General features: G+C 33.6%; 1 protein-coding gene across 16 annotated transcripts in view; it reads left to right on the plus strand.

The window, feature by feature from the left end:
- The window catches only part of NCAM2 (neural cell adhesion molecule 2), a 544,921-nt gene that overhangs the window by 404,514 nt on the left and 113,376 nt on the right, over positions 1 to 27,031 (plus strand). For all 16 annotated transcript variants that reach the window (NM_001352592.2, NM_001352591.2, NM_004540.5 and 13 more), the window contains 2 exons: positions 7,352 to 7,539; positions 15,551 to 15,647. In NM_001352592.2, coding sequence (NP_001339521.1) covers positions 7,352 to 7,539; positions 15,551 to 15,647 — 285 coding nt within the window. The remainder of the gene's footprint in view (positions 1 to 7,351; positions 7,540 to 15,550; positions 15,648 to 27,031) is intronic.

Below are 27,031 nucleotides of genomic sequence, written 5' to 3' on the forward strand. Positions count from 1 at the left end.
GCATATAAGGGTTATCTTTTCTCTGCATCCTTGACAATAATTACCTTCTGGGTTTTTTGTAATAGCCTTTGTAACTGATGTGAGTTTATATCTTCTTATGGCTTTAATTTGCATCTTCTTAATGATTAGTGATGTGGAACATTTTTTAAAATACCTGTTGGCCACTTATTTACCTTCTTTTGGGCTAATTCAGTTCCTTTGCCCATTTTAAAATCAGATTATGTGTTTTTTTTGCTATTGAATTTTCTCCAGATTCTTGTTGTAAGACTTGTGACAAGTTGTGAGAAGCACTATGCCTGGGACATTTTAACTGCTCACAAAATAGTAGAGATTTAAGTTAATGTTCTTCTGGGAATCTTTCTCTGGGTTGCAGTTATATAACAATATATTTATTTACTTTTGCATCTGCCTCATCCACTAGAATGTTTCCTGTTGAGATGAATACCTTGCATTTAAACAGTAATTTGCATGAAATAAACTACCAGTGATAATTTGGGACAGTGGTTGCCCTCCCAGAGCTGCAGATGGAAAATCTTTAAGATTAAGGTTGAGACATTCATCTTTTTCCTCCACAAACTCTCAATGTGCCAGTTAATACTCAGGGAAGAAAAACTTTTATACCCAAACAGTTGTGTCCAGCATCTGCTAAATGGCTTACTATTCATAGACATAAATTTTGATATTATTTTGAATTATTAGTGTACAATCAAATATATCATTCTGATTTGGAGGATTTTAACATTTTATTTGGCAAGGCAACCCATGATGGCAGTATATCATGAAGAAGTTAAATTCCTTCAACATCTTTTTGAAAGTGAAGGTAGAATAAATGTACAAATAGGTAAATATTAGTTTGAAATCAAAACAAATAAAACCAAAACATAAATAAAATGTTAATTATTCACCATACGTTATGGAGTATGATTAATTCTAAACAAGTTATTGTAGCATTGAAATATGTGAAAATATAGAATGTATGAGCTCTGTCATTAAAATATGAGTTCAATTTAGAAATTTAAATAAAAATAAAGTCACTATTTAAGGGGTCAGGCTTAATATATGGTATCATAATACTGTTAAAATTTAATATGAATTTTGCCCTCTTTATGATAAAAATAATTGATGTTGTTTTATGCTTTCAAGTGTCTTACTACATATGGAGTGTCTTGACATTTTTAAAAATGGAAATAAAGCCTCTTTCAATTTTAATTTCAAATAATTATGCCTCTCAACAAATAAAATAGATAACTCAATATTTCCCCTGATGTGAGGCATACGTGTTTACTGTAGAGTGAATATATGTGTGTAAACAATATCAACATATGTCAATATATTGTATGTATATGTGTACAATATGGTTTGGCTGTGTCCCCACCCAAATCTCATCTTGAATTGTAGCTCCCATAATTCCCACGTGTTGTGGGAGGGACCCAGCAGAGCATAATTGAATCACAGGGTAGTGAATAAGTCTCACGAGAGCTGATGGTTTTATAAGGGGTTTCCCCTTTTGCTTGGCTCTCATTCTGTCTTGTCTGCAGCCAGGGAAGATGTGCCTTTCACTTCCCCTTCTGCCACGACTGTGAGGCCTCAACAGCCAAGTGAAACTGCGAGTTTATGAAACTTCTTTTTCTTCATAAATTACCCAGTTTTGAATGTCTTTATCAGCAACATGAAAACGAACTAATACAGTATATATTTGTGTATATGAGTGTATATATGTATATATAGTATGTATGTGTATATACCGTATATCAATATATGTCAGTATATCTATATATACACAATATATGCCATTAAATGTATATTTGTATACATGAGAGTGAATATGTATATATTCATATGTGTGTTTACACATACCCACTCGTATGTACATATATGTATATATTCACTCATATATACATATATACATATGTGCACACACTTTACAGAAGTGAAAGTAAAGTTGCTTTTTTACAAAAGCAACTTTACAATAGTAAAGCCTACATAATTATTTGAAATTAAAACTCTAAGGGTTTTTATTTTCATTTTTAAAAATTTAAAGAGACTCCACATGTAGTAACGCATTTTACATTTTTAAAGCCATACATATGGCTTTCCAAAAGTTTGTAACTTTACCGGGACTGAAAAACATCAAAATTAGAATACACTATTGAGGAAAGTACAGTATAACAAATATATTATTATTATACTTACTATTTTTAGACTATCAAGATATTTTTGCAGTCATGTTTAGTATTTTTGTTATTTATTTATGGTATAATTACTAACAAGACTCTTTTAGTTTTTATGTTTCAGAATATTGATTTAATAGAGGCTGAATATTCTCAATGAAAAAAATGTGAAAAAAGCATACACAATATGCCTACTGCCAAACACGTTAGTATTAACAATGATGGGAGCATTGTAATATATTTTAACCTCTTAATGCCTCAGCAGAGACTTGGGAAGAGGTAACAACCTAATTTCTTCATAAATGTCCTAATTGAAAGTTGATTATAGAACCTAACTTTGGCGAGGTCCAGATGCATATTCCTGATGTAAAATTATACAGTAAAAGTATTTTAAAATAAAAAGTATAATTTAAAAAGTGTCTTTAAAATCAATTATTATATTTGAAGACGTTAGTAAGTATACTTATTTGGGTATTCTTTCTTGAGATGTCAAATGACATTTTCCATTATTTTAGGCAAATATGTTTTAATGCAGAAGTTTACTTGTTATGATCAAGGGCAAAAGTTCTATGAATCAATTTATTTGTAATTTCTTAATCACAACTGTGCTAGGGAGACAATTTTGAAATTCACCTTTGAAATCCAAATCTTGTCTGTAAACAATATTGCAACAAATTTTCTACACTAGTTTAACAATATTTCTTATTAATTCAAAATGGAAGGCATTTTAACATTTCTAAACTACAATCTAGGGAATCTTCTTTGACTTTCTGATAATGAAGCAAGTGATTAACTTACCTGCCCATTCATAATTTTAAATTAACTGTAGCTTTTTATTTTAACTCTCATATTTCAAATATACAAATTTTACCAAAAGTAACCCACTATCTCTTATTACTGATGCATCTGCTTCACATCTGTCTCTCTCATTCTCTCTTTAAGAAAGGGAATCAAGCTTTCTTTTTAAACACCTTCTTGGGGTTACCCTCATTCGTCAAACAGAAATTATTCCGAGACCTGTTAAAAACTGTAAGGAAGACTAGTCATTATTACTAACACAATAGTGCTCAAGACTATTGCAATAGAAGAGAGAGATTGAGCTCAAAGCCAAATACAAGGACAAGTTGGAATGTACAGCCAATGAGTAGAGTGAGAGATGGCAGTGGATGAAAAGTTATTAAGAGGGACCTGGTAAACTTCAGAGGTAATGACTTTCTTGGTAACCTGGCCTAACAGGGTCCTTGCTAAAGACAGGCCAAAGACTTAGACCACAATTGTGTTGAATGAAGAACTTGGTCAGATAGCAAGAGTGATCAGAAATCAAGGGTGCGGGAACTCTTATAAATGGATTTGGCAGGATTCTTTGCTACTGGCAAGCCAGGGACAGTGCCAAGGTCAAGGCCTAGTTGAAAAGTGGGCTAAGAAGAACCTGACTAAAGTTTGATCAAAGAGGGTGTCTGTGTCACTTTCTTGATTGTCACTGGCACTGGAGGCTTTCAGAAAGGAGATCTTTTTCTCCACCTCCAGTGAATGACATACTTCCATCTTTTCACTATTCAAATTTATCTTAACTTTTTTCTACTCTGCTCAGATAAAAATTAATTCTTCCAATAAAGTCACTTCTTTTCATTATAATTTGTAGAATCATATTTTGATTTGGACTTTGATAAGATTGATGGACACATAACTCCTTAAGATATGCTTCCATAACTTCATATTTCATGTAGTCAGGAATTAATTGGGCACAAATCCTAAGCCAAAAAAATGCAAGTTCAAGATAAAAATGTTTCCATGCCTATTGCCTTTTTTCTTTCATATATATGTGAAAGAATATAGCATAGGCAAAAGTATCTTTCCACTTCTGCTTATGCTATATTCTTTTCTCCTTTTTCCCCTGTATGTGTTTCTCTAACCACCAGTGTTTATTTCCTCTGTACATTTGAAACCTTTCATGATGTAAAGGGCCTTCCTGATTTTGAAAATGACTATTTTTGGTACACCAACATGACATATGGCTACATTCTTCAGCCACTTCAGATGGTGCTATGCAAGAGTCACATCCCTCATACCACACTGGCCCAGTACCAAGTTGTTAATTGCATTGACATGCTAATCTTGTGCCAGTGAATATCGCTGCCTTGCTACTGTATTGATATTTACAAAGCATATCCTGTATAGACATTTAGTTTCTGTTTTATTATAGACCGGCGTTATCAATATTTTCTTGCTTGATACCACAAATACATTTTTTAATGTGGCTTTCAGTATAGCATGTATTGCCTGTAGCAAGTATTGCATTCAACACTGATAATTCTGAGTAAAATTCACACTGAGATCATCAGGCAAGCAATTAGTGGCAATTGCTTTCTGTTATGGAAAACAACAAATCTTACCCTCAGTATATAGTTAAATTACACTATTAAAATACACTACATGCAGATGCCACATTGTGGACAGAGTGTGACTGCAAGTCAGCTATTAATGTTTCCATTAGGATGTATGAATTTCTTATTGGATTGAGTTTATTTGTAACTATATTTTCCTTAAACCTCTCCGTGAAATAGTATAATGTTAAATAAGTTATATTTTACATACCTTAACAGTTGTAAATAAATTTAAAGATATAGATATAGACGTATGAATTTCTTGTTGGATTGAGTTTATTTGTAATTATATTTTCCTTAATCCTCTCCAAGAAATAGTATAATGCTAAATAAATTATTTTACATACCTTAAGGGTTGTAAATAAAGATATAGACGTAAACTTAGTTTTTGACTTTGAATATCAAGAAATTTGGCTTCTCTTATAGTTGTTCCTTTAATCAGTTGTGTGTTCTTAGATTCTTCATGTCCCTGGCTTTTTCAATTTAGTTGAACTGTTGAATTAAAATTTATTTGACTATTTAATTTCCAGTCAATTCAATGTACAGTTTAAAAAACACTGTGTAAGCCATTAGATAAATAATTGTGACTGAGATACATTCTGACCCCCAAATGGACATCATTTGGTGTAGAAACGATCAAATAGATGCTTCCATTGCCTAATGACCATGATGAGGGAAATCACAGAATGCTGTGGGTGCACAATTTAGGCCACCTCATCTAGAACTGAAGAGTGTGGAAAGGCTGTGTTTAGAAAGTGAGGAGCTTACTTTTGAACTCAGTCAGTTGAAGGGAAGGGCAGGTATATGCCGAGCTAATGGAAAGCCATAGGCAAATGTATCTGTGTAATATTTAGCACACCTAAGTACAAAGATGTACCACCATTTATGGGATGTTAAGTTGTTTTCAGTTTTTGTTATTAAAATAATAGTGCATTAAAAGTCCTTTAAATAAACTTTTATAATATTTATAATTATTTTCTCTGGATACATACTGGATTGCAGAATCAAGATTATAAAGCTGTTTTATCTTCCTGAGAATTGTTTCAATTATATTCCCTTTAATAATAGATGATAGGATTCACAGCACCAAAATGTTTCAAACCCTGAAAATTATAATTTTATTTCTGTATTTGATTGGGCATATAATAGACGTTGGTTAAAATAGCCCTATATTGATATCTGAGCCCTAAAACTTATTGTGGGAATGAGCTTGGCATCTCTTAACTCAGATCCCTTTTCCATAGAACAGAGATTATTCCTTCCTTACAAGGTTATTAAAAATATTAAATATAATAAAGTATATAAACAACTTACCTTCATATAGAAATGATTCAGTAAGCATTTCAGACTTGTATGTGAGATTGTCATTAAAAACATTCATTAAAGTAAAATAGGACAAGGACTTCTAAATGATTACTTCTGCATTTGTACTACAGATAAGTTACATATCTGATATTTATATAATTAGTAGATATAACAAAACTGGATATTGCTTTTTTAAGTAGTTTGCAGTAATAAAATATTTAAAAGTTAAATGACTTAAATTGATAATTTTTGATGTGATATTAAGTTCTAAGTAGTTAATATTAGTAACAATAATCAGCATAAATATGAGCAAAATTTTAGCTACAGCTTACTTGAGAATTATGCTTTCATGTAAAAATAATTATAAAATCTTCTCAAATAATTATGCAGGCAGGAAATTGAGAGGTTACAATATTTGGCATTTGATTTAGATCGTAGTCCTGGGGTGGAGGAAGAGTGAAAACAACATTTGTATGTTTTCACATTTAGATTTTTAAATAAAATTATACATTGTTTTCTCTTAACTTCTGTGATAGAGATCTAGAATACAGACCTGAAAAAATTGATAGGGAATCGTAAGAATAGGAACTGGTTACTTTTCAAATTAATTATTGTTGATTAATTTATGACATCTGTGGTTTAGTAAAAATGGGAAATATGGATACTTTAGGGAAAAAATGTTTAGTTATGTTGTTGCCATTCCAGCTTAGATTTCATACCTGAGTCTTCAAAATAATTTATAGAAAAAGTGACTATGACTTAAACGAAATAAAAAGTGAGGAAAGAACCATTTATTAGATTTTATCCTAAACTCTCACTTTATAGTTTGTTCCAGAAATAGTTTCTACACAAGTAGATAGTCATTAACATAGTCAATATGTATTTTTTGTCAGATTAGTAAGAGCAAATTTAACTCTGGTTCTCTTATATTTTAATAATTGGTAATTTATGAGTGTATGTTAATCCTATTAAATTATGTGATAAAAGTATTCAAATGACATATATTTTCGTGAGTTCTGATGCACTGTGTTAAATACACAAAATTAGGCTGGGAGCGGTGGCTCACGCCTGTAATTCCAGCACTTTGGGAGTCTGAGGCGGGCGGATCTCGAGGTCAGGAGATCGAGAATCACGAGGTCAGGAGATCGAGACCATCCTGGCTAACACAGTGAAACCCCGTCTCTACTAAAAATACAAAAGATTAGCCTGGCTTGGTGGCGGGCACCTGTAGTCCCAGCTACTCAGAAGGCTGAAGCAGGAGAATGGCATCAACCCAGGAGGCGGAGCTTGCAGTGAGCGGAGATTGCACCACTGCACTCCAGCCTGGGCGACAGGGCGAGACTCCGTCTCAAAAAGAAAAAAAAAAAATACACGAAATTAGAATTATGTGGCTTCTTTTTATACAGTAGAAATAACTAATGCTTATACTACTTAAATGATTATTTAACTTAAAGAAAATGCCTATAATTATTTTATTATATTGTATTACAGATGCCCCCAAGTTTATATCAAACCAAACAATTTATTACTCTTGGGAAGGAAATCCTATCAATATAAGTTGTGATGTGAAATCGAATCCACCAGCATCAATTCACTGGAGAAGAGATAAATTAGTCTTACCTGCTAAAAACACGACCAATTTAAAGACTTATAGTACAGGAAGAAAGATGATATTAGAGGTAAGTCCACATGTATACATCAATAAATTGTATTATTTTAACAACTATCTACTATTTCAGAATATATTTAAATATCTTCATATGCATATATATATATAATAAGAGAGAGAAATCATGGTGTATATATTTTACAGTTATTTACTTAAAGGTCCATGGCTCATTAATGATGAGTGTATGAATGTCTATTCACTTATATAGCAATGTGGCTATATAGCAAAGACCATTATTTTTATAAATGCACTTTTAGGAATAAAAACAATTATATGGCCGGGCGCAGTGGCTCACTCCTGTAATCCCAGCACTTTGGGAGGCTGAGGAGGGCAGATCACAAGGTCAGGAGACTGAGACCGTCCTGGCCAACATGGTGAAACCCTGTCTCTACTAAAAATACAAAAATTAGCTGGGTGTGGTGGTGTGTGCCTATAGCCCCAGCTACTCAGGAGGCTGAGGCAGGAGAATCACTTGAACTTGGGAGGTGGAGGTTGCAGTGAGCCGAGATCACGCCACTGCACTCCAGCCTGGTGACAGAGCGAGACTCCGTCTTAAAAAAAAAAATATATATATATATATACACACATATATATATGTGTGTGTATATATATATATATACACACACATATATATATGTGTGTATATATATACATATATATGTATATATATATACACATATATATGTATATATATATACATATATATATGGAAAATCTAGGAAGAAAAAATTGGTAATGTAATAGTTATTGAGGGATAAAAATTTTTCCATATATATATATATGGAAAAATCTAGGAAGAAAAAATTGGTAATGTAATAGTTATTGAGGGCTAAAAATTTGTCTTCAATGTTGATGTTTTCATTGATTCCATGTGGTATAGCTTTTTTTTCTTTTCAGTCTGGCAGGTATAAATGCTATCTGTTGGCTAGATTTTTACAATTCTAGTGTAAATTCCAAAATAAATGAAATTTACTTGTTCAGTATCTTTTGTTTTATTACTAAAAATAAGATTTTGTATAATTATTTTTATATTGCCAAGTAATTGGCCTTTAAATACTGTCTGAATAAAGTGCCTCTTATTTATTAATTGGAGTGTATGTGTGTATCAATTTCCGAAACATAAAAAAATCTATGAAAATGATCATCACCCTTTCCAAATTATGATGCGGTTAGGAAAATTGGGAATCTTTTTCACACAGCCTTATTTGCTGAAAGGTTGCTACATTTTATTCACTAATTCAGTTTGCATAAGCTAAAATGAAATGCACGTTTTAGAATACCGTCTAATATCCATACTGCCTTAACTTAAAATGTCCTCATTGATGCCATTTAGACTTTAAAAAAATTCGTTTGATAGGAGGATTTAGCCATCATGTCTGCAAATACTTGCATAGCTGGCTGGTTGGTAATTAAACCGCTATGTCTAAATCAATTTCAATATAAATAAGTTTCTTTGGAAATATTTTAGAAGAATTAGCTATTTGTGACTTGACAGGGATGTCAATTTCATAAAAACATCTGGACAGTTTTAATCTAAATTTTATGTGTTTTACCTTAGTGAAAAGCTCAGGTTAGATTTAACTTGTTTTGTGTAGTGTGTAGTCTCCTTGAATACTTTAATAAAATACTATAGACAGGATGGTTGAAATCACAGAAATTTGTTCTGAGTTCTGGAGGATAGAGGTTCAATATCATGGTGCCTGCCAGGTTGCTTTCTATAGAGGACTCTTCCCTGGACTTGTACTTGGCCGCCTTCTTGCTGTGTCCTCACATGCCCTTTCCTCTGTGCGCACACAGAGTTCTGGTGTCTTCCTTTTCTTGTAAGGATACCAGTCCTGTTGGATTAGGTCCCACTCTTATTACCTCGTTTAACCTTAATTACCTTCTTAAAGATCCTATCTCCAAATTCATTCACACCGGAATTTAGGGTTTCAGTATATGAATGGGCAGAGTGAGGAGGCGGGCAGTTCAGTCCATAGAAAGTAGATTGAATTTCGTGAGTAAATGACAGACTAATGTGTAATTTCTGCTTTACTTCATCTTGACATTTTTTAGTTCCTCAGCCAACTCATAATTCTCTATATTTAATGTGAAGGGACATTTTATACATACAACATAGTATATAGTGTATGCTATTTAAACTTCTGCCTAAAGACATCCCTCTGCACTCCAAAATAAAATTTTAAAAAACCCACAATTTTTGCCTACTTGACACACAGCCAGGTGATCTGTTGGCTAAACCACTGACTTTAAACAGACATGTTTATGTGTATACTCTCACAAATTAAATTTAAATTCTGAATGAAAAATATAAATGTGTGATTAACACAACTTGAAAACATAGCATAACAAAATAACAATAATATAAAGAGAAAGCAACAATGAGCATTACTAATATTTAATTATTAGTATATACAGTTGCTTGAGACAGTTACTTTTGTTTAGTAATTATTGTAAAAGTCATATATGTGCTAATTCTTTAGAATATAAAAGGAAATATAGGAAAAGTTTACACTTAACAAGTTGTCAGTAATAAATTTATTGAATTGTTTTAAAGATTTTTTCTTTAAGTATATATATTCAAACTTTTAAAATTGTGTGTTTTAAAACATAACCAAATATTCAATAAATTATTTAAGTTACTGCCAATAAATGCCTCTGTAATCTGTAAAGGTCAAGGTCATCAAAACTTTATTTTTTTAACTGACCACATCCTGAGGAAATTACAAAACTTTTCAATATGTGGGCAAACATTGAAAGAAGGATTGGTTTTAATAGGTTTGTTAGAATAATATTGTGCTTTGCATTGTCTGTATCTTTGTTTCATATCCTAAATAGGGGTGCTTACTGTTGTGTCCATGACTTTCTTATCATGGAATACATAGAAGAAATAAATATTTTTAGGTTTAAGAAAAAGACTAGCAAGCTTCTTGATTAATATTATACACTTAGCTTATATTTAGATATTCAAAACTATATTTGTTAGTTCACTATACTCTGTCCAAACCTAATATCATTAATTAATATCAGCATTTTTAGCTGGATACAGATATACCTTGGAGATATTGCAGGTTTAGTTCCAAGAGCACCTCAATAAAGTAAATATCTCTATAAAGCCAGTCACACAAATTTTTGCTTTTTTCAGTGCATATAAAAGTTATGTTGGCACTATAGTCTATTAAGTGTGCAAAAGCATGATGTATAAAAAGGTCTACATAACATAACTGAAAAATAATTACTAAAATTTTCTGGGAATAATTTGAGATTTAAGCAAGTTGTAACTTTTTTCATTGGTGAAGCGTTTTGTCGCAAGGTTGATGGCTGCTTACTGATCAGAATGTTGATTGCTGAAGGTTGGAGTGGCTGTGGCAGTTTATTAAAATAAGGCAACAGTGAAGCACTTTGTTAATTAACACTTCCTTTCATGAAAGATCTCTGTGTAGCAGGTGATGCTATAAGGCTAACAGCATATAATACTGTTTGTTAGGAATTACCTATAGCAGAACATCTTTCAAAAATGAAGTAAATCCTCTCAAACCCTGTCACCGCTTTATCAACTAAGTTTATGTAATATTCTAAATCTTTGGTTATCATTTCAACATTTTTCAGGCATCTTCAGCAGGAGTAAATTCTACCACCAGAAACCACTTTATTTGCTCCTCCATGAAGAGCAATTTTCCCATCTGTTAGAGTTTTATCATCAGATTGCAGCAATTCATTCACTTCTTCAGGCTCCATTTCTAATTCTAGCTCTCTATTTCCACCGCATCTGCAGTTACTTCCTTCACTGAAGTCTTGAACCCCTCAAAGTCATCCATGAGGGTTGGAATCAACTTCTTCCAAATTCTTATTAATGTTGATATTTTCACTTTCTCCCATGAGCCACAAATATTCTTAATGGCGTCAGCATGGTGAATCCTTTTCAGAAGATTTTCAGTTGACTTTTCCCAGATCCGTCAGAGGAATCACTGTTTTATGGCAGCTGAAGCCTTAAATATTGTATTTCTGTTTTTTGTTGTGTGTTTTTTTTTTTTTTTGAGAGGGAGTCTCGCTCTGTCGCCCAGGCTGGAGTGCAATGGCACGATCTCCACTCACTGCACCTCCGCTTCCCGGGTTCACACCATTCTCCTGCCTCACCCTCCCGAGTAGCTGGGATTACAGGTGCCTGCCACCACGCCCGGCTATTTTTTTGTATTTTTAGTTGAGACGGAGTTTCACGGTGTTAACCAGGATGGTCTCCATCTCCTGACCTCGTGATCCGCCTGCCTCGGCCTCCCAAAGTGCTGGGATTACAGGCGTGAGCCACCGCGCCCGGCCACAAATTGTATTTCTTAAGTACTAGGACTTGAAAGTTGAAATTACTCCTTGATCCACAGGCTTCAGAATGGATGTTGGGTTAGCCAGCATGAAAACAACATTAATATCTTTGTATATGTCTATCAGAGCTCTTGGGTGACTAGGTACATTGTCAATGAGCACGACTAGTTTGAAGGGAATCTTTTTTTTTTTTTTCTCAGCACTATATCTCAACAGTGGGCTTAAAATATTCAATAAACCAGGCTGTAAACAGATGTTCTGTCAACCAGGCTTAGTTTTCCCATGGATAGAACACAGGCAGAGTCGATTTAGCATAATTCTTAAAGACCCTAGGATTTTCATAACGATAAATGAATGAACAATGGCTTGAACTTAAGTCACTAGCTGTATTGGCCCCTAACAAGAGATTCAACAGGTCCTTGGAAGTTTGAACCCTGCCCTTTACATCTCCTCTCTAGCTATAAAAGTCTAGATGGCATCTTCTTGCAATAGAAAACTGTTTCATCTACTTTAAATTCTATTTTTTAGTGTAGTCAATTCCATCAATGATCTTAGCTTGATCTTTTTTTTTTTTTTTTTTTTTTTTTTGAGACAGGGTCTTGCTCTGTCGCCCAGGCTGTGTAGTGGCGCGATCTCGGCTCAGTGCAAGCTCTGCCTCCCGGGTTCACACCGTTCTCCTGCCTCAGCCTCCCGAGTAGCTGGGACTACAGGCGCCGGCCACCACGCCCGGCTAATTTTTTGTACTTTTAGTAGAGACAGGGTTTCACCGTGTTAGCCAGGATGATCTCGATCTCCTGACCTCGTGATCTGCCCGCCTCGGCCTCCCAAAGTGGTGGGATTACAGGCGTGAGCCACCTCGCCCGGCCCTTAGCTTGATCTTCTGGATAACATGCTGCAGCTTCTACATCAGCACTTGCTGCTCCACCTTGTATTTTTATGTTATAAAGATGGCTTCTTCCCTTAAGCCTCATGAACTAACCCCTGCCAGCTTCAAACTCTTCTTCTGCACCTTCCTCACCTCTGTCAGCCTTCATTGAATTGAGGCATGTTAGATCTTTGCTCTGGCTTGGGCTTTGGCTTAAGGGAGTATTGTGGTTGGCTTTGTCTTCTATCCAGGCCAACAAAATATTTCTCCATAACATGAGTAAGGCTGTTTAGCTTTCTTATCATTTGTGAGTCCACTAGCGTAGTACTTTAGATTTTTTTCAGGAACTCTCTCTTCACATTTACCACTTGGCTGTTTGTTGCAATAGGCTTCTGTTTTAGCCTATCTTGGTTTTGTCATGCCTTCCTCACTAAGCTTCATCATGTTTAGCTTTTGATTTAATATGGGAGATGTGTGACTCTTCCTTTAACATGAACACCTAGAGACCATTGTAGGATTATGATTTGGCCTAATTTTAATATTATTGTGTCTCACAGAATAAGGAAGCCAAAGAGGGAGAGAGATGAGGGTACGGCCAGTCAGTGGAGCAATCAGAACACACATTTATCAATTAAGTTCACTGTCTTAGGGGCACAGTTTGTGGTTCTCCAAAACAGTTACAATAGTACCATCAAAGATTACTGATCACAGATCACCATAGCAAATTTAATAATAATGCAAAGTTTAAAATATTGAGAGAATTACCAAAAAGTCAGAGAGACAGGACATGGGCAACTGTTGTTGAAAAAATGGTGCTGTTAGATTGCTTAATGCAGGATTGCTACAAACCTTCAATTTGTGAAAAAAAAAAAGAAAAGAAAAAAGAAAAACACTATCTTTCAAGCATGGCAAAGTAAGACACAATAAAACAGGTATGCCTATATTTAAATATGAAGAAATAGTTTTATCAGTAGATGTTTCTAGTAGATGTTTATCAGTGGGTGTTTATCAGTAGATGTTTCTTGATTAATATTTTCAATGCTTTGCACATTTTAAACATTTAAATATTTTTACTTAATGGTCTATAATATACCCTCGTTATATTATCTTATATTTTCATAAAATTATATAACATTTCATTGTGCTGGGTTTAAGTGTAAAACCACTATTGGACTTTAGTTTTATGTTGCTTTCCTAGAATACATCAAATAAGCTTCAGGGTACATGATTTGGCCAGATTATATCTAGAGCATGTGTGTGGATGTGTGTGTGTGTGTCTTAATCTATGTCGTGATGGGTGTTTTCTTTATTTATTAAGCATACAACATGATAAAAGGTTGCTTATTTAAGATGAACTTTTATCTGTTGATAGCTGAACTCCCAGGAACAACAACAAAAAAATGAATTGAGCTTTTAAGAAATTGTTCCAATGAAAATGGCTCTATTTAAATTATTAATCTTAAGGAGCTGTGTAATAGTCACATTTCTTTGTTGTGGCTATCCTGTCTTGGCATTATATTGATTCAATAAACACATTCTTCTCTGTTGAATTTGCAAATAACTTTCTCATATGCATGTAGAATAAGAATTTTTTGTTAAATCTCTTTCTCATTAGAACAATTAGTTTAGAGTTAAATTAGCCTTGCTTATTAAAAGCTACACATAAGGAAAATGAATATTTTAATCACTTAGCAGTAATTATGTAAGAGCTGTTACAAATTCTAAGCTTATTCCTATGATCTGTTTCTAGATGGACAGCTGACTAGAAAACGAATGACACAGCTTTTCTGTACTCTTTCAGAATTATCATCTTCAATGGGCCTCAAAATTGCACTCTTAGTTAATAGCCTCCCATTACTACAAAATCATTTTTCCCTCTTTTGGGATAGAGTTGAAATTAACAGCAACTCTTGTAGGCATATTCTCTCTTAATAATAGTTACAGAGATTGAAAATTATATCTATTACTATCATCAAATCTCTTATCTAAATTGATACTTCAGAATTTCTGTACATTAGAATTACAGGGTTTGTCTCAGTGTTCACCAATAGAATCCCCGAAGGTTAACTTAATTATGGATTTCAAATGTTTAAGGATAGAGGTCAGCTATTTTCTACCTAGAGTGAAAAAGAATGGTAGGAATTGAACAGAAATGGAAGCAAGATACTGTTATTAGATAGCGAGAAAAAGTGCCTGTCTATGAGTATTGTTGCAAAGAGTAACATTTTATTGCACAGTATGTTCCTGGAAAGATTTCATTAAGAATGATCCTTCCTCCTTCGTTAGTATTATATGTTCAATAAACTCAAAACAGGGAGAGAAATATCACATATCTGGAGACTTTGTTGAACATTAAAGCAAACTGATCTGAGGCCAAAACATAAAAAACAGTTAACAATGCTTTTATTACAAGCTTCCTGTTTTCAAGTTTACACCTACATTGATTGCAAACTATAGATACATATATATATACATGTATACATAAATATATACACATATATATTTCAAACTGTGTACTACTTTCTGAGCTTTACATATATGTAGATATAATGGTTATGCTATTTAATAGATACATCGAAGTGGTGCCATTTGTTTACTTAATGAATTAATAGATAAATTCTGATTTGCCTAGTCCTGTGGATATTACGGGCTCATGGATACATCATAAAAGGATTTATATTATTTAGTAATGCTTACTTAATAAAGAAAATTAAAAATATATGGTAAGGAGTTGTTGGGTAAAAAATGAAATGTGTGAAAGTGGTAGTCATACTGGGGTTTATTATAAAACTTCTGTGATGTTTTAGAATTGTAACATTTGTTATTATAATTATTTCAGATTGCACCTACATCTGACAATGACTTTGGACGCTATAATTGCACAGCCACTAATCATATAGGAACAAGATTTCAAGAATATATTCTTGCTTTGGCTGGTAAGTATAGCACAATAATTTTTGAGATCGCACACAATATTTCTGAGAGCAAATGAAAATTTAAGTTGATAAAGTGGTCTCATTTACATGTGGGATTTAAAACAATGGATCTCTTGGAGATATCAGGTAGACTGTGGTTACCAGAGGCTTGGTAGTATATTGGGAAGGAGGGAATGAAGAGGGGTTACTCAGGGAGCATAAAACTACAGTTGATTACAAAGAATAAGATATGCTGTTCAGTGGTACGGTAGGGCTATAATAGTTCACAATAAGTTATTGCATATTTCAAAGTAGAAGAATATATTTGGAATGCTCCAAGCACAAAGAAATGACAATTGTATGAAAGAACAGACATGCCAGTTACTCAGATTTGATCATTATATATTGTCTGCTTATATTAAATAGTCACATGTTCCCTGTAAATATGTACAACAATTTTGCATGCATAAAAATTTTCCAAAACCTTAGACTTTAGCGTGTCTATAACAAAAATATGAACTTCCAAAAAGTGGGTGTCATGTAATTTTAAATGTTAGCAAAGAATATATTTTACATTTTTATAGGTAACAATACAGATTGCTTTTTATAAAGAATGAATCACTTTTAAAAACTTCAAACCATTGTATCTGCTATACAGTGAGCATGTACAATGTATTTACTCATCAGGATTGATTTTAAAACCTGATTCTAATCCCTCCAACTTAAAAGTGAGATATTTGTGAAAGAAATAGGGAACTTTTTTTTTTTTTTTTTTTTTGGATGTTAGGAACGGTCATGGTTTTTTTTTTCGATTTTTTTTTATTATTATACTTTAAGTTTTAGGGTACATGTACACAATTTGCAGGTTAGTTACATATGTATACACGTGCCATGCTGGTGTGCTGCACCCATTAACTCGTCATTTAGCATTAGGTATATCTCCTAATGCTATCCCTCCTCCCTCCCCCCACCCCACAATAGTCCCTGGAGTGTGATGCTCCCCTTCCTGTGTCCATGTGTTCTCATTGTTCAGTTCCCACCTATGAGTGAGAACAGGCGGTGTTTGGTTTTTTGTCCTTGTGATAGTTTGCTGAGAATGATGGTTTCCAGTTTCATCCATGTCCCTACAGAGGACATGAACTCTTCATTTTTTATGGCTGCATAGTATTCCATGGTGTATATGTGCCACATTTTCTTAATCCAGTCTATCATTGCTGGACACTTGGGTTGGTTCCAAGTCTTTGCTATTGTGAATAGTGCCGCGATAAACATACGCGTGCATGTGTCTTTATAGCAGCATGATTTATAATCCTTTGGGTATATACCCAGTAATGGGATGGCTGGGTCAAATGGTATTTCTAGTTCTAGATCCCTGAGGAATCGTCACACTGACTTCCACAATGGTTGAACTAGTTTACAGTCCCACCAACAGTGTAAAAGTGTTCCTATTTCTCCACATCCTCTCCAGCACCTGTTGTTTCCTGACTTTTAAAAAATTAAATTATATTTCAAGTAAAGAGAGAATCCTGATGAAAAAATTAAAAAGCAAAACACTCTGAGAAAAAATGAACTATAATAATATATTTTAAACTTTTAGACTTGAAAGTACAAAGAGCTATCTTACTTCTGAAGGAAAATAGAAAATTGAAGGTTACATAAATTTGTTGAAAATATTTTATTTTGTATGTATATGTTAATATTCTAGTTTTACCTCTAAAACTTAAAGATATAGAAATAACAACATATAGAATAAAAAATTCATACAAACCAGAAAGCCAGATATTGTTTACTTATTTATAAAATTTGCCATTATGTTTTACAAGACTGATAAGGAATCCTAAAATACATTTTAAAAAATAGTTTATGTAGCTCAAATGGAAAAAATGTGATTTACAGTCTTCTAAGACTAGGTAAAGTAATATCAGAAAATTATTGTAATATTATATTTTAACAGACTTAAAAGCATCTGTAAAGAAATTTTATAACCTTTTCAGGTAGAGATTTTATTTATAACTTTAATTTTATATTAAGTTCAGAAAAATGTTCATTTTTACTGCTGTATAAATATATTCTAAATATTAATGTCATTGATCGTAAAGGCCAAGAAGGGAAATTTTTAAGCTAATAATGTCAAATTATTATGTAACTTAGAGAACCTGCTATTCTCCAATTCAGGTTTTACTGCATTGATAGAGAAGGGAGAAAAGAGATTACATGGAAGGAATTGATGGAAGAAGGCAGGGAGAAAAAAAATCAAGATAAGTGAGTTTAGAAATGTGAAGAGACTGTTATACAAGCAAATTAAATTATAAGAAAATGAAGTGTGCTAATTCTCACCAAAATGCATAGATAATAAATTGAAGAATCAACTGTACTAATAAGAAACATTCACTACTCAAATTAATTCCAAGCCTTTGGAAATTATGCAACTTTTCTTTAAATTAGTATATAATTTTATAAATAATTAGATATAGGATCAATATATGTATATATAATGTTATTAATATTGATCCAGTATTGTATATTGCCATTTCGTAAATGATGTGTTTTTCGATTAGGTACAACTTAATAAATGACCAGAATTTTTAGGAGGGTGTATTAATATTTGGTATTTAAAACATTATGTTGATTAGGTTTAAATAATTCCATGAACTTCACAGGTAGTATTTAATGTGCATGTACCTTTGTATCTCACAATACTTACTGCAATATTGTTCATTGAAAAATATATTTGATTCCTATCCTTCTAGTGACTATATTAAATTACTGAGTTTTCTTCTGTCCAAACATAATAAAAATTAAAGTTTTCATCAAAGCTGAGTTAGAAAATATTGGAAATTTTTTGAATATTTTTCAGCAATTTTCCTAATATTCCAAATTTTATCAATTCCAGGCTAAGAATTTGTTTTAGAAAAAGGTGGATTCAGTTGAAATTGTAATGAAGATATAAAAATGATTCAGACAGTCAGCCTTAGATGGGAAACATGCATTTAAATATCAACATTTATAAATATGCTTTATTTTATGGTACTCTTATTTAATACTAATATTTGGTAGAAAACAATCTGTCCTGCAGAATCCTAACACTGAAACTATACTGTGATTTTAAATAAGATGTAAGACATTTATTATATAAAAAATTAAATATTTCCTAATATATGAGGATACCACAGTTTAAGATTTCATTGGCCTATTTGCCTTGTAAAAGGTCAAGATCATTTGGCATATGGTATTTTACAGTGTAAGAGAATACCTTACTTCCAAAGGGAATTAATTAGAGCCAAAATGTAGTGTGAAATTTTTGTACACATTCAGTGGTAATATAGGAAACAATTACTTTTTCAGCATTCAGAAACATTTTTTCCTTTTTTCCTCCCATTTGTCCTCCTTTCCTTCTTTTTTCCTTGCATTTTCCCTTTTTAATAACTTAGCCCTACATCGGAATGAGGTAGGCATCTGTGTAGGAGTAGGGTGAAGCACAGAAGCCTGGCATGGGATGTGAAAGCCTGAGCAGAGTGAATGGAGTGGAAGGAGTGTTGCAGGGGTCCAGTGTTGAGTGTTGGGATCCAGAGAGGGTAAAAAGAGTGCCCACTTGCCAAGACAGAAACAGCAACCCAAACAGGCTTGTTGGAGGCCATTCACCTAAGTGAAACAACTCAAAAACAGAAATTCAAATACTGCATGTTCTCACTTGTAAGTGGGAGCTTAACAGTGTGTACACACATGGAAAAATAGACACTGGAGACTCCCAAAGGTGGGAGGCTGGGAGAGAGGGGAAGATTGAAACATTACTTGTTGGATGCAATGTTCAATATTCTAGTGATGGATACACTAAAAGCCCAAACTTTGCTAGTACATAATATGTGATTGTAAGAAAACCCCCTACACCTATAAAAATAATATAAAAATGAAATATTTTTGAAATGGAAGTAAAATGTATATGTGTTTGGTTTAAGTCAGTTAACCCTAAGCAAGGACTTTCCATTAAACCCTGACTTCCTATTAATGAGCAGGAGTTGACGTAGTCTTCTTTTACCTATCTCCTCTGTTTTTAGAACATTGGGGGGAAAAAGTAATCTTTCTATGTTGTTACAGAAATATGAAATATTTCACATATGTGCTTGATAATTTTGTTTTCTTAACTTTTAATCCAAATATTAACTAGAAATATAAGACAGACAAATACGTATATATTTTAAGACTTCACCATAAAGTTGGTTTTTAAAATGTACCTCCTAGGTGTTGATCCTGCTTTCTAGTAGGAAGCATTCTCTATTTGGATTGAAGTACATATCTTGAATCAAATTAAAGTTGTACAGCATGTAAGGCTAAATAAAAGTTTGACTATATAGTGTTATTTCTTCCTTACAATTTTCTACTTCCAAAAGATGATTATCTGACAAGGCATTCTGTATATTTATATGCATATTTATTATTTCTTTTCTTAAAAAATCATTACCCTACATTTTAAATATTATTATCAAGTAATTTCATTTATATATTTTTAAATTTCTTAATTTGTTTCATCATTGTTATATTTTTAACTGTTGAACTTTTTTATATTAAACCTTAACCCTAAATAAAATAATCACACCTTTGTTTCATTAATTGATGCAGGTTTCTGATAAAGTCACCTTCTCTTGGGCAATTTTATGGGAGGGACTTGGCTGTTAGCTGTCATCAGGTAGTATGTCCAGCCCCTGGGGAATGAGAGCCTCAGCTCTTTAAGAGTTTCTGTGCAGTCATTCCAAGAGGTACCTGGTAACAGTATTGTGACAACTAAGTGAGTTAATGCATTCAAGCACCCAGCACATGACAAGTACTCAACAAATATTAGGTAGGTATTATTATGGCCTAATTATAGTTCATATTGGTCACTTTTCTTTTGGATAGAAGTCAGTACCTTGATACCTCTTTAGTTATTATACATCAATCTAGACATCAAGGACCAAGGCTTAGTAAAATGAGATAATGACCTTACTTATTCTGAACATTATACTTCTATTAAATAATGTTAAATTCATTTGACTTTTGTTATTTTTTTCCATTTAGGAGCTTGTACTACCAATTTTTTACACAAACTGCTATTAAGGGAGGTCTCTGATACTGTGCTTCACAATTGATTTTTTTTAACCTCAGTTCAGGACTCTATACTTACCCCTATTAAATCTCATCTTGTCAGTTTTGACTCATTTTTTAACCTACTGAAACCCTGTCAAATTCAATATTTTAGCTCTTTTTTTCAGGATTGATTTAAGTCACAAGTACAATATCATGAAGCACTCATCTGTATTTTCACCAGAGTCAGGATTAGCCTGTATAAGTCATCCTTGAGAACAGAGATTGGCTTACAGGTTAAACTGGATCAATTGAATAGAATTCTAAGATATGGAATTATGGCCGATCTACTGGTCTGTGTACCTAGATTTTATCTTAGCCAGACCTTTGCTCCATAACACTTGAAAGCATGTTAAAATTAGTTCATTTGGTATCACACTTTCTTCACCTAAATATAACGGCAGGATTCTTTAACATAATCAGTTTTATGATCTAGCCTGGACAAGTCTACATCTTGATTTTTCAAAGAACTCATTAAGCAAACAGTGATATTCAGAAACTATTCATAATATATTCTTGGTTTTCTCATTCTCATATTGCTATGAAGGAAAGGAAATCAGGATAACTTGACATTATTTTCAGAGAATCCATGTTTGCATCAATTCCTAATCACTTTTTAATTCATTCACTCAAAAAATATAATGAATTTCTAGTAGGTACCACACATTGTTCTAGATCTTGGGAATCTGAAGGTAAATAATACATGGCATCTGGTCTTTACACATAAGTTGGAGTTCAAAAGATATAAGGTTGCTGTAGAAGTGTGAATCAAAGGTTTGGGAGAACAAAAATGAATTCTGATTGGAGTTCTTGGAAAAGGCTTTCAAAAGGTGTCAACTTTTGAATTGAGTCTGAAAGAGGGAGTAGAAACAGGTCCAGGGAAGATGAAAGGGAAAGACTCAAAGAAACATCAAGGTTACACTTGTACATAGGCACTATGCTCTGAAAGGATGGGACTGTTAATGAGTAAGGCATTTAATGGAAGACTGGAAGGGTATATTGTATGAGAAGACCAGTGTTGGTAATGTGCTTAGAGAGGTAGAGAGAAGTTAAGTTATAGATCTTAAAAACATTCATCATGTTTGCAGGGCAAGGTGGTTTACGCCTGTAATACCAGCACTTTGGGAAGCCGAGGCGGGTGGATCATCTAAGGTCAGGAGTCTGAGACCAGCCTGGCCAACATGGTGAAACCCCATCTCTACTAGAAATACAAAAAAATATTAGCCGGGTGTGGTGATGGGTGCCTGTAATCCCAGCTACTCGGGAGGCTGAGGCAGGAGAATTGCTTGAATCCAGGAGGCGGAAGTTGCAGTGAGCTGAGATCACACCATTACACTCTAGCCTGGGCGACAAAAGCGGGACTCTTCCTCCTCCAAAAAAAAAAAAAAAAAAAAAAAAAAAATTCATCATGTTTACATTCTGTCTGGTATACAACGAGGGAAATTTGGAGATTTTTATTCATAAAGCAACATGATTCATGTATCTTAGAAAATTATCTTGGTGGTGTTCTAGAGACAGATTTCAACATAGAATAAAATGTACGTATGTAACTAACCTGCACGTTGTGTACATGTACCCTAAAATTTAAAGTATAATAAAAAAAAGTGACACAACTGCCAATTTCCAAATTTCTCCAAATATCTAAAATATATAAATTTAAACTCAAACACTCTAATGTTCACTCTTCAAAATTTTTTTCTGGCTCATAATAGCTCTAAATTGAATGTTTGAATGGTTCATTGTGTTATATTTGATTTGCTTATGACCCATTGTTGAAATGCCCAGTACTAAAGATAAGTGAATCTGGGTGTCCGTGAGTTGTGAGAAGAGTCAAGACATACTCATATTTGGAGGAAATAATTTCCATTGATATCTTGGTAGTGAATGAACACTGCTATGGAGAATATTAGAGGTAAAAATGGGAAAACCAAGGTCAGATCTCTGGACAACTTCAGTTTAATTCATGGATGTATAAGAACAAAAAAAAAATGAAAGAAATTTTTCAGGGAGATAGTGTATCTATTTTGAAGGATAAATGTAAATATAATTGGTCAAATATTGTGAAAAAGTCTAAATAATAATTTGGATTTGGCAATTGGTAAAAACTAGGTGAGTAGTGAAATGAGAAGGAATTTACAGCATTTCAGATGTATTGCAGGTTGGCTATATAATATTAGATTAAGCTCACAATGTTTCTTGCTCTATTCTGGATGCTATAGCAAAATATATTAGACTCTGTAATGTATTACCAACATAAATATATTGCTTACAGTTCTAGGGGCTGGGAAATTCAAGATCAAGGCACCATCAGATTTGGTTTTTGGTGTAGGTCCAATAACCAAATTGTTTTTATAGATGGTGCCTTCTGTGTGTCCTTATATGGTGAAAGGGGCAAACATACTTCATTCAGCCTCTTTTATGGAGGCACTAATCTTATTCTCGAGGGTGGATGTCTCATGACTTTATCACATCCCAAAAGACCCCACCTCTTAATAATATATTCAACATATAAAATGTGGAGGGAAACCAGCATTCAAACCACAGCATGATCGAAACAAGAAAAATGTATATAAAACCTTATAGAAGTAAGGTAGCCACTCAAAACAGAAATAGATAGAACCTATCTCAGCATAGAAGTCCTTGAGTTGTAAGCAATTATGGTGACACTGCATGTAACAGTGTTACTGGATCTAGGAAATTCAGTTACTTATGTTCCAATTCTTTTAGTATTTGAGACTTTTACCAGATAGAAATTGATGAGGAAATCAAGCAGAAACTGATTTATGATAAAGAACAAGCTGGTTATGAAATCACTGGAAAGGCAGAGAAAAGACCAAAGACAGCCACCAATATTCTACCTTCAAGGTCACAAAATAGCATAAGCGTGGTCCACATGTGAAGTCTGCAATGACTAACTAGAGGTCAGGAAGCCCTCCTGCCAAGTTACCCCTCAGCTAATAATCACAGCCACACCACTCCTGAAACTGGATGAATAGGCTGTGGAATGGGGAGTTCGGATGCTACTCTCATTCATATCTGCAGAGCCTCTTGTCCATGCGCACCTCCTGAGAAAAGTGGGACTGACATTCACACCCCTCCAGCATTCTAAACTGTATACATGTACCTTTCATTCTAGGTTCACTACATGAAACTTAGAACCATAGCAGCAAGTCAGTCTAGGAAATGAAGATTTTAGCCTGCAATTTCTTATGATAAACAGGAGTGTCTTAAATCGTATAATTTGACTCTGAGTGTTAATAGAAAAATATCTAGGATAGGGTTTAAAACACCATTCTGAAATAATATTCATGCTAGCACTTCCTTTTAAAAGAGAGTTTACAAAAATCAAACTCTTCAGATTCCTGGATCTAAGTTTAGCAACACCACAGCCTCATATGTGTAAAAAGAGCACAGTTAGTGTCTATGAACTATGCGTGCTGGGAGAGCAAATTCTCAGAAATAAAGATGTTGGGGCAGAAATTAGAAATAATCTATTGAAACAGAGTAACAAAGAACAAAAGAAGAGTATGTTTCCTGAGAAGAGAGTGGGATTGAAAACAAAAAAAAGAGATCTTTATAATTCACAGTAATAAGACTGAGAAGAAAGAATAAAATTCCAAAGAAGAAGAAACAGGAAAAGAGCTATCTGATAAAGAAAAATTTTGGAGAAGACAAAAGGAAAAGACATGTCATTCAGAGATGAAGGGTTTAGTCTTGGAAAATAAGAAGATAGAGTTCCATTATCAGTTAATCAAGACGTGATAGCTGTCCAAGACATTGGTTACATTGAAGCATTACTCACAATAGCCAAGATAGCCAAGATATAAAGATGTACAGCATGATCTCACTTATATGTGGAATTCTAAAACAGTGAAAGTCATAGAAACAGAGAAAAGTGGTAGTTGCCAGGGGCTGGGGAGTGGGAGAAATGGGAAGATGTTGGACAAAGATTAAAAAGTTTCAGTTATGCAAGATGAATAGCTTCTGGGAGTTTAATAAACACAAGTTCATTCAGTGACTCCAGAGATTGTATCCATCTGACTCCTAGGTCATGGCACCAACTCCTTGCCATTACACACCTCAAAAAATTCTGAGCTGAACATCGATATTGTATCCATTACCTGCCATTTGACTAAAACATTGATACATGTCAATGGATACAAAAGTATGTAATAGAAGGAGGCTGATGATCAGGGAGGGATAGAAAAATTACAATGACTGACATTTGCTAAGAGTTTTAACGTATTCTAGGGTTTAAGTGCTCAACATTACTTGATATTTCCAACAACACTCGCCGTCGTACTATTCTAATCTCCATTTGAGAGAGAAAACTACTGCGATGTGAAAAGATTAAGTGCTGTAGTTGACAAAAGTGGCAAGGCCAGGTCTTGAATCCATGGACTCTCATGACATATCCAGTCTCTTAATCCAGCACTTTGCCAGCACTGTTAGAGGTGAAGAGAAAGGGTAATTAAACAAATAAGTATTTGCACAATTGCTTTTCTATTCATTTATTCATTCATTGAGTGGTGAATGGTATTCATCAATTTTTGGGATATAAGACACTAGAAAATAGTTTAGAAAAATATGGTAACAATGAAGGAATAATAGTGTGTAAAACTGAGCATCCGATATGAGCCTCAGTTGAAATATTGGGCTGTGTCTGAAAGTCTTTTAGAGTAGACCAGTATCTTTGCATACACCCAGTGCATTAGATAATCCAGGATCCTGAACATGAGGCTGAAAAGATCGAGACTAATGTTGTAATGAAAATGAAGCTCCTGAATACCATTGCAGGGAAGTGATGTGATCAGAGTGGTTCTTTACAAAGATTGATTTTGCATTTGCATGCCTCGTGCATTGATGTTTTTGTTAGACATCCAATAGAAAAGGAAGCCAAGAGCCACTAATGGCATCACAGGAAAAGTCAGATAGGGCCAGGGCTTGGGAGGTAACAGAGGAAATGGGAAGGAAGAAATAGATACAAGAATTATAATGCAGGAATTATTAAAATAGTGTTTTGACTGATTGTGATGTATAAGATAGATAGGAATCAAGGGTGAAGACAATTACAGATTACAGAAAAATCCAGAAAGTGAAGAGAAGAATTAGAGATGTTGATTCTAGGCACATCTGACACTATTCACTTAGATATGTTCTGTATCTTTGTATATAATTTTTCATTACTGAAATATTTAATTCATCAAGTATTTCCTGAGAACTTACTATATTCCAGTCACTTTGTTCTATGTTACATGTATCTATCTGTATGCATGTATAAATACATGTGTGCGAATGTGTGTTTGTAAAGTGTTTTATCTCTTTCCTCAAGAAACTTACAATTTAGTAGTCAGTTGACAGTTGGACTTATAAAACCAAAATGTAAAAAATATTTAGAAAGAGAATGAAAGTCATAAGCATGCTTTTGCTTTAAAAGAAGTAATAGAAATAAGAGGCCAGTGGAAAATAATATGAAAAAAAGGCTACAGTAAGTGTCAGCAGATCTGAAAACGGACTATATAACTAGAAGAGACTAGGCACTGGCCCATGTTTTGATGATGGTGGCTTTGTGCTGAAAGAAAAAACAAAGGCTCTTCTTTCTCTGCAGGTGCACCATGTCAGGGTGCACAGTTGGTGAATGGTGCAACCTCTGCAGTCAGAGTAAAAACAAACAATCATGTTTATACCATATATTCAAAGATGGAAGCCCAAGAGGATAGATAATATCTCCCTCTCATCCCCCAGAATATACTACCTTCACTTTTGACACATGTCCCCAAACTGGAGTGTAATGCCTATGACATCCAACTTAGACCTAATGTACATTAGGGAGTCAGCCACTCAGCACAGATTGAAGAATTGGCATTTTTTAAGGGGATCCGTGTGCATTTGTTTGCCTTTCTCCTATACTTTGGATCAAACTTATAAGTAAATTTTGGATCAAACCTACAGCTGAAAAGACATGCAGATTAACCTGGAGATTAAGGAAACATGAAAATTATTAGAATATTTGAAGGCCAAAACATTATTTAGATATCTTAAAATTTGTATTTCCAGATATGATTTTAATAGTTCTAAGACTTTTGGATGCATCAGAATTCTACACGTGTGTTTGAACCTTAGAGTTGTAACATCATGTACTTCATAGGCTCTCTAAATAATTCACAGTTTCTAATTAGAGTTGAAATATACACTGTGGCATTTCTTTACAGTATTCACATGTGAAAGGCCGTAAAGCTGTGCTCCTGGCTCTTGCTCAGTACTATTTATAAGGCATATTTTTATAT

The sequence above is a fragment of the Homo sapiens genome, chromosome 21 (genome assembly GCF_000001405.40).
Source record: "Homo sapiens chromosome 21, GRCh38.p14 Primary Assembly".
Lineage (NCBI taxonomy): Eukaryota > Metazoa > Chordata > Mammalia > Primates > Hominidae > Homo > Homo sapiens.